At 36.3% G+C, this 7,760-nt stretch overlaps 1 annotated feature.

Annotated features, from left to right (window-relative positions):
- Positions 7,246-7,434: a silencer, noted in NCBI's record as "fragment chr18:4944402-4944590 (GRCh37/hg19 assembly coordinates)". NCBI's record gives its function as "represses an EF-1alpha promoter that drives an FKBP-Casp9 reporter gene in an ReSE screen in phorbol 12-myristate 13-acetate-treated (for megakaryocytic differentiation) K562 erythroleukemia cells {active_cell/tissue: K562(+PMA)}" and the evidence as "EXISTENCE:reporter gene assay evidence [ECO:0000049][PMID:32094911]".

Consider the following 7,760-nt stretch of genomic DNA (forward strand, 5'->3'; position numbering starts at 1 on the left):
CAAAAAAATCAGCCAGGTGAGGTGGCATGCGCCTGTAGTCCCAGCTACTCGGGAGGCTGAGGCAGGAGAATGGCGTGAACCCCGGAGGCGGAGCTTGCAGTGAGCCGAGATGGCGCCACCGCACTCCAGCCTGGGCGACAGAGCAAGACTCCGTCTCAAAAAAAAAAAAAAAAAAAAAAAAAAAACTTATTCAAAACTTAGATGAAATGTAAAACTTCTTCAGAAGGCAAAAATTACCAAAGCTCACTCAATAAGCATAGAGAAACAGAACAGTGCTATATCTATTAAAGAAACATTTTTTAAATTAGAAACCTTCCCACAAAGAAAATTCCAAGTCACTGGTGAATTCTCCAAAACATTTAAAAGAGAAATAACACCAAATCTACATACTATTCCAGAAAATAAAGAGAGGGGATTCTTCCAAACCTATTTTTATTTCATTTAATTAATTAATTAATTAATTAATTTATTTTTTTGAGACAGAGTCTTGCTCTGTCTTCCAGGCTGGAGTGCAGTGGCGCGATCTCGGCTCACTGCAAGCTCCGCCTCCCGGGTTCACGCCATTCTCCAGCCTCAGCCTCCCGAGTAGCTGGGACTACAGGCGCCCGCCACCACGCCCGGCTAATTTTTTTGTATTTTTAGTGGAGACGGGGTTTCGCCGTGTTAGCCAGGATGGTCTCGATCTCCTGACCTCGTGATCCACCCGCCTCGGCCTCCCAAAGTGCTGGGATTACAGGTGTGAGCCACCGCACCCGGCCCAAACCTATTTTTATGAAATCAGTATTACCCTTACACCAAGACCATCCAAAGGCATTATAAGGGAAAGAAAACCTACAATGTCCCTCATGAGCATAGACACAAAAAGAAATCAAACAAAATATTTAGTAAAAATAATTCAGCCCAACAGCAGAGCTTGAGACAAGAATTCGGGTGTAGATATTTATATGGAAGGTAATCTGGGAAGCAAGAGTGAAGGAGCAGAGGGTGAGACAGGCAAGGGGGCTTGGTTCCAATGGCCCTCTCAGGCCATACTAAATGCCTCCCAGAACTTTCTGTCTGGAATATGGGCATATTTATCCACTATGTTCCAGTCCCTATTACTTGAAGTTTGTCCCTAGCATATTTCATTTCTGGGATGCTCCAGAGCACAGAATAAACAAATTCCTGTGGCACTGGAAAAGGCACTGGGGCAAATGAAAAAAGCTGTGGTGCTTGCTTGAGATGGGTCACTGTCGACGCAAAATGAGAGTGAGCCTACATAAAACCATTCACTGCAGCTGAAGTTGAAATCAAATGCGAGCAGACAGGATTGATGTAGGCACCAGGGGCCTGTGATACACAAAAGAAAGCAGAAGACCACTTACAAATGCATTCGGTTTGAGATTAGACATCCAAGTGTAGGGGTCAGGTAGACAGACAATGGGATACAGAAGTGTGGAGCTCAAGAGAAAGGTCTGGAATGGAGATATATATTTGGGAATTGTCAGCATATACATGATGTTTATATCTATGGAACTTGATGCCATCAATCACCAAGTCAGTGTATGGAGAGAGGGAGAGAACAAAGACTTAGCTTTGGGACATTCCAAAATTAAGACATTGGGGAAAAAAAAAAAAAGAGAAGAAATAATCAGCAAAAGCTAAGAAGTGTTTAGTAGCAAACAACAAACTGGGGAGTATGAAAAGATGATATCCCGGATACAAGTGAAGAAATGGTACCAAAAGAACAGAAGAGGTTGTCAGTATCAAATGCTGCTTAGAGGTCAAGGAAGATAAAACTGAGTATTGTCATCGGAAGGTCACTAAGGACCTCAATGAAAGTACTGGAGTTTCTGAATTTTAGTTGATGTTTCCTTAAGGTAATTCAAACATCAATAAACAAGCATCAACCTCTCTTCCCCAGGGTTTGTCAAACACTGCTCTGCCAACTTGTGTGCTTCCAAAGTAAAACTATCAGCAAACCATAGCAAATTACAAGAAAAAGACAAGGCAGCATTTCTTTTCAGTGTAATTGAGTTAACTATTCTTTATACATTTTCAAAAATTAAAATATCCCTTTTTAAGTGAAATGATACTTTTTCCTAGCAAAATAACATGTATGCACACCTGTGTTAACCTTAAATAAAAAATACATATATACATATATATATATATGTTCCACATATATATGGGGGCTGTGTAAGGGTGGGTGTGTGTATGTGTTGTATGTGTGTATTTCTAATATATATATGTATATATTACATATATAGTAATATAGATATATGAGATAGATAGATATGTAATATATATACACATATGTAATATGTGTGTGTGCATGTAACTATGAAATCCAAAACTCTGGAAAATATTGCTTTAGCCTATAAAACTCTGGTATCAGACAAAAGCAGTTTTACTTGGTCAAGGGCTATATGTGATAAAAAGAGGTGAAAAAAGCAAGACAATATATGTAGTGGTGAGGAGAATGGATTTAGGACAGAAATGTTCTTCTGTTACTTTTCTCTGACACCTTAGCCATAGTAGAGGGATGCTTGCTTGATGCAATTTATAGCTTAGCTAAATAAAAAATGATTTGCCTGAACTGTTAAGCATATTGAAAGATTTTCTGTTACCAAAGATTGCTACGAAGCCTATGATACATGCTGATTTTTTCCTTGCTGAAGGATCTTTATTACCTCTCATTTTAGAACTGCTTAAGATTCTGTTCACTTCATTGCATCTTGTCTTTCTGTTCTCAATTATCCTAAAAACTCAAGGATTTAAGAATCTTAATAAGCAATTCTGTAATGACAGGTAATTTCCCAGTTTTTTAGGTTTACAGTGCTGTCCTCATTCTAACTGTTTAGTATGGATGCTTAGCTCAGCCTTTCTTCTTTTCAGATACAAAATTTTAGGCTTCATAGTTCTGTATAAATTCCATATTTCAAAATTAATTGTCTGTATCATATGTTTATCATTTGGTGTCTAATATTTTTCTAATATTTGATTTCTTTGACCTATATATCTTTTATAAGTGTGTTCTCATCAACTTTTTGTTACTGATTTTTAACTTGATAGCATAATGGTAAAAAATGTGACTTTTATGACATTAATTCTTTGAGATGTATTAAAGCTTGCTTTATAAAGCCAATATTTAGTCAATTGTCTGTGTATGCTTGTAAAGAATGTTTTATAGCTCCTGAATATGGTAACATATATGTCCATTACATCAAACTGATTAACCTGTTTTTAACAAATCTGTATCATTGCTGATATTTTTTGGTCTGCTTTTTCTAATAAGTACTGATCTAGATATTTTTATATGCCCATCTTCATGATAGGTTGCTTTATTTTTGTATAGCTGTTATTATTTTTTGCTGTATATATTTTGAGTCTTTCTTATTAGATGCATACAACTTCAGAATTATTTATCATTATGACATGACATTAACTCTTATAATGTTTCTACCTCTTAAGTTTATTTCACTTGAAATTAAAAGACTACAATCGATTTTCTTTTTTAATTGACATAATAGTTGTACATATTTTAGGAGTACATGTGATATTTCGGTACCTATATACAATGTGTAATGATCAAATCAGGGTAACTGAAACTTCCACCCAATCACTGCAAGCATTTATCTTTTCTTTGCATTGGGACACTTTATTTTTTTTATTATTGGCATGAGTTACTTTTTCTAAACATTTACTTTTGAAAATTTCTATGTCATTATCTCTTAGATGTATCTCTTATAGACAGAAACACCTTTAGTTTTGAAGTCTAGTTTGACAATCTATTTAAATTGTAACATTTTATTCTTTTGTATTTATTGCAATTACAAGTAATTTTTGATTTATTTTGTGCTTAGATTTGGTCTACCAGTTCTTTGTACGTTTTTCTTCCTTTTTACCTTCTCTTATATTGGAACTATTTTTCCTCATTCAATTTTTTCTCTACTAATTTATGTTATACACTATTATAACATATTATTATACACTATTATATTAAATAATGTTTTTACTATTTGAAAATTACTCTTTATCCTATCATTCAGATATTATAGAAGGAATAATAACAATTGTCTGCAAGGGATACTTATTTACATGAATGATAGAAAGTTTCTAGAAATAAACTTATTCTAAGGGAAAGAAAAGTAGTTTATACAAAAAATATAAGATTATTAGAATAATTTGGAAGAAATTGGATGAAAAGCATGAGAAATAAATAAATAGATAAAGCATCTTAGTATTCAAGAAGAATTTATTTAGAAACCTTCGTGAATATGCAAATTCACAGTTTTAGAGCATAAAATTTGTTTTCATAAAATATAATTAAATATAACCCCAACTAGAATGTAAGCTCCATGAAGGTAGGAATTTTTAACTCTTTTGTTCACTGCTATATTCTTATTTACTAGAAGAATACTTAGCATATAAAATATGAATATGCATTAATAAGCCACTTTAAGAAAACTTTAATAATAATAAATGAAGAATTGTGTTGAATATTTTTCATTAATCCCTCCAGATCCACTCTATAAAAACTGCACAAAGGTTCACTGGACCTTTATTAAAGGTCCAATAAAGGAAATGGGTTCATCAAGAGGTTTATTGAGTTCATCAAGAGGTTTCCTTACTATTTGGCTTCAACTAAGGCTCAGCCAATGGCAGGCCTCAGCTGGAGATCAGATGGTGGGAAGCGTGTAAGAATGGGTATTTCCCTGGCTCCATCTCTGCCAAGTTGCCATGCATTTGCTGCATCATTCCTCTGAAGGCCATGGCCCTTAGAATATCTGCTGCTCTTTGCAGTTTCAGGCAATTCCTCCCACACTTTAACACCTTAGACCCAGGAATGGTAGCAACTTCCTACTCTTGCTTGCCTTGGGGCTCTGAGCCTCTGTTTATTTGTTTCCCTTAAACTTGTCTTCACCTTTGCAAATAATCCCTTTATTCATCTTCTCTCAATTCCCATATTTAAGTGTACCATCCTCTTCCAACTTAGATTCTGACTTTGACAAAGACTAAACTCATTTATAACAAGATTAAAATAAATGTGATTTGAGTATCCAGAGAAACAGTTTCATTAGTTTTTTCATCTGGTCTTGACTCCCTAAAGATGTTATGGTAGACTGATTCTAAAAAGAAATTGATTGATGCTGAATCTGATATGCCGGAATTTATATTACTCAACATTAATATTTTCTAGCTAAGATCCATCTAGTTCTTAGATCTCAGCACATTTTCTTCATTTCCATCACCAATGTCTTTTAGAGCCATTTTCACAGACACACCAACTCAAAAAAAATTGTTTTTGTTCTTGTTTTATCACTTTTCAAGAACTACTGCCAGCATTGTGATAAAAAGAAACAATAGAGCTAAGAGGTGAACAGCTAAGCACCCCTTCCCACACCAGCCTCTTCAGACCTATGACTAAAGTTGATACTACAGCAATATTACACATTATCACATGTCACAGATCTTCAGGGTTGTTCACAAACAGGTTAAACCACGAATATTACATTTATAAATGCAAAAAGTCTTGTATATTACTTTGTGAATATATTTTAAATCTTCGGTCTGGTGTGGCCTATAAAATAATATCATAGAATGAATTAGTTGAGCACTACATTCTCTCATAATAACAAATTTTTGAGGCAGGCACTACTTTTACCCTTGCTTTCAGACAAGAAAACTGTGAAATATACAAGTTAAGTAAATGATGCAAGTTTATAGAGTTAATAAGTGCTAGAGCTGGGAATCCAATAAAGCTGCAAAGCTGATGCTCTTAACTCCAAACTTTCAAGAGATCAAATGGTGGTATAGAGCAAGAGTTATTAGTTGCAAGAGATAGACAGCAAGATGAGGCTTCTGTCTCACTATCGGCCATTATTAAATAATTGTGTGTCCTATTCAGACTCTATATCACATACGTAAAATGGAGATAGTAAAAATGCCAACTCATGGGGTGCTGTCAGTAATGAGCTAAATTAAATAAGACAATGAATGTCAATAATTTGGCTCAGTACATTTTAGGTAATATCATTTTTTAAATTTCTTGAAATATCTGTCAAATGCAATTGTTTTAGTTATAGAGTTGATTTATCTCAATTACTGGCAAAATAAATAATGTATTGCTTTCATGTTGTAATGACAAGATACACAAGCCACACATATGTGTCTTACTCTCTTCAATTTTTATAGCAAGAAAATGTACATTCAAATCAATTTTAAACAAGGTCAAATGAATAACCATTTCTCCCAGGCTCCCCAGGGGTAGAAAAAGCGAGTGTTCTCTAGACTTGTTTTGTTCAAAATTTGAATCCCACTCTAAAGAATTTCAGTGTGTTGGGTGGTATTAGCAAGATAACTTTCCTGAAGACATACCCTTCTCAGAGGACAACATGCTAGAGCAATCCATGACTTTATAGGAAATCGAACATCTTCCTTGCAACATATTATTTCCATCCAGTTTTACCTGCTGGTAATATTTAGTGAAGTCCAGAATCTTACCAAAGTGGAATGATGAGAAATATTATTAATTCACATGGATAAACACTGAGGGAATCCACAAATCAATGAATTTAATGTTCTACTTCACTTCCAAAGTGCATTAAAAGATGTTGCCCAGATTCTTCAAAGGGAAGGCAGCCTGGGAAAGAAACCAGAACATCCTATCCTGATGGCTTCGTCTGTGGCCCAGTACTGAACAAAACATGTCTTGTTTTTGCCCTTAGTGCACCAAAAAATGTCAATGTTCTTGACAATCAGATGAATATCTAAGTGTTAATGCCTACCTCCTAAGATAGATTAAGAATACAGAAAAAATATGGAACATATTTTTGGAATATCACCTGGGCTTGAGGGTCATCTAAAATACAACTTTGTTGTCTTTTTAAAAATCAAAATATTATGAGCCATAATTCAAAAGTTATATTAATTTTTATCATGAAATACAAGATTTTGAGAAGTGCCAAGATGGCTAACTAGAAACAGCTAGTGTGCACTGCTCTCATGGAGAGAATAAAAAGTGGCAAGTAAATGCCACATCTTCAACTGAAACATACTAGTGGACATATGGGATTCATCAAGGAAACAACTTGACCCACAGAGAATGGAGAGGAGCAAGACAGGATGACCACCCATTCAGTAGTGGAATGGAGCCAGGGGAGGCTCCCCAACAGCAGGGAAATGGGGAGTGAGTGAGAAACTCTGTTGACCCACACTTCTCCCATGGATTTTTGTAGCCCTGGCCTTAGAAGATCCCCTCATGAGCCCATCCCACCAGGGCCATCAGACTGACATGCAGAGATAACATGGAGTTTTGGAAGAGCTGCCAATTAGGCACACCTGGAGTACTGGTAGCCTTGGATTTCTGAGCATCCCGGCATCAGCACTGCAGCTCTGGCAAAGGGGCAGGCTAGGCTCCCTCACAGGCCCCCAGGAAAGGGGCCGAATCCAGAGGACTGAGCAGTGATGGTCTGCAGGCCTCAATTCCAATGAATCTCTCAGGATAAGACCTACTAAGCTGGGACTCCAGCCATCTGCCACTGGGGCTCTTGGCCTGGTAACAACTCTGTACTTCCCTTGGATGAAGCTGTCACAGGGAGGGACAGGCTGCTATCTTTACTGTCTTGCCATCCTGGCTGTTGTTGCCTCCATACTCTGGAGAGTCCATGGTGATGAGGGATTGGTGTGGACCCTCAGCACAGCATTACAGCCCCACATAAAAGCAGCCAGAATGTTTTTTACGTGGGTCCCTGATCTTGCTTCTCTTCACTGGGCAG

The sequence above is a fragment of the Homo sapiens genome, chromosome 18, assembly GCF_000001405.40.
Source record: "Homo sapiens chromosome 18, GRCh38.p14 Primary Assembly".
NCBI classification, from domain to species: domain Eukaryota; kingdom Metazoa; phylum Chordata; class Mammalia; order Primates; family Hominidae; genus Homo; species Homo sapiens.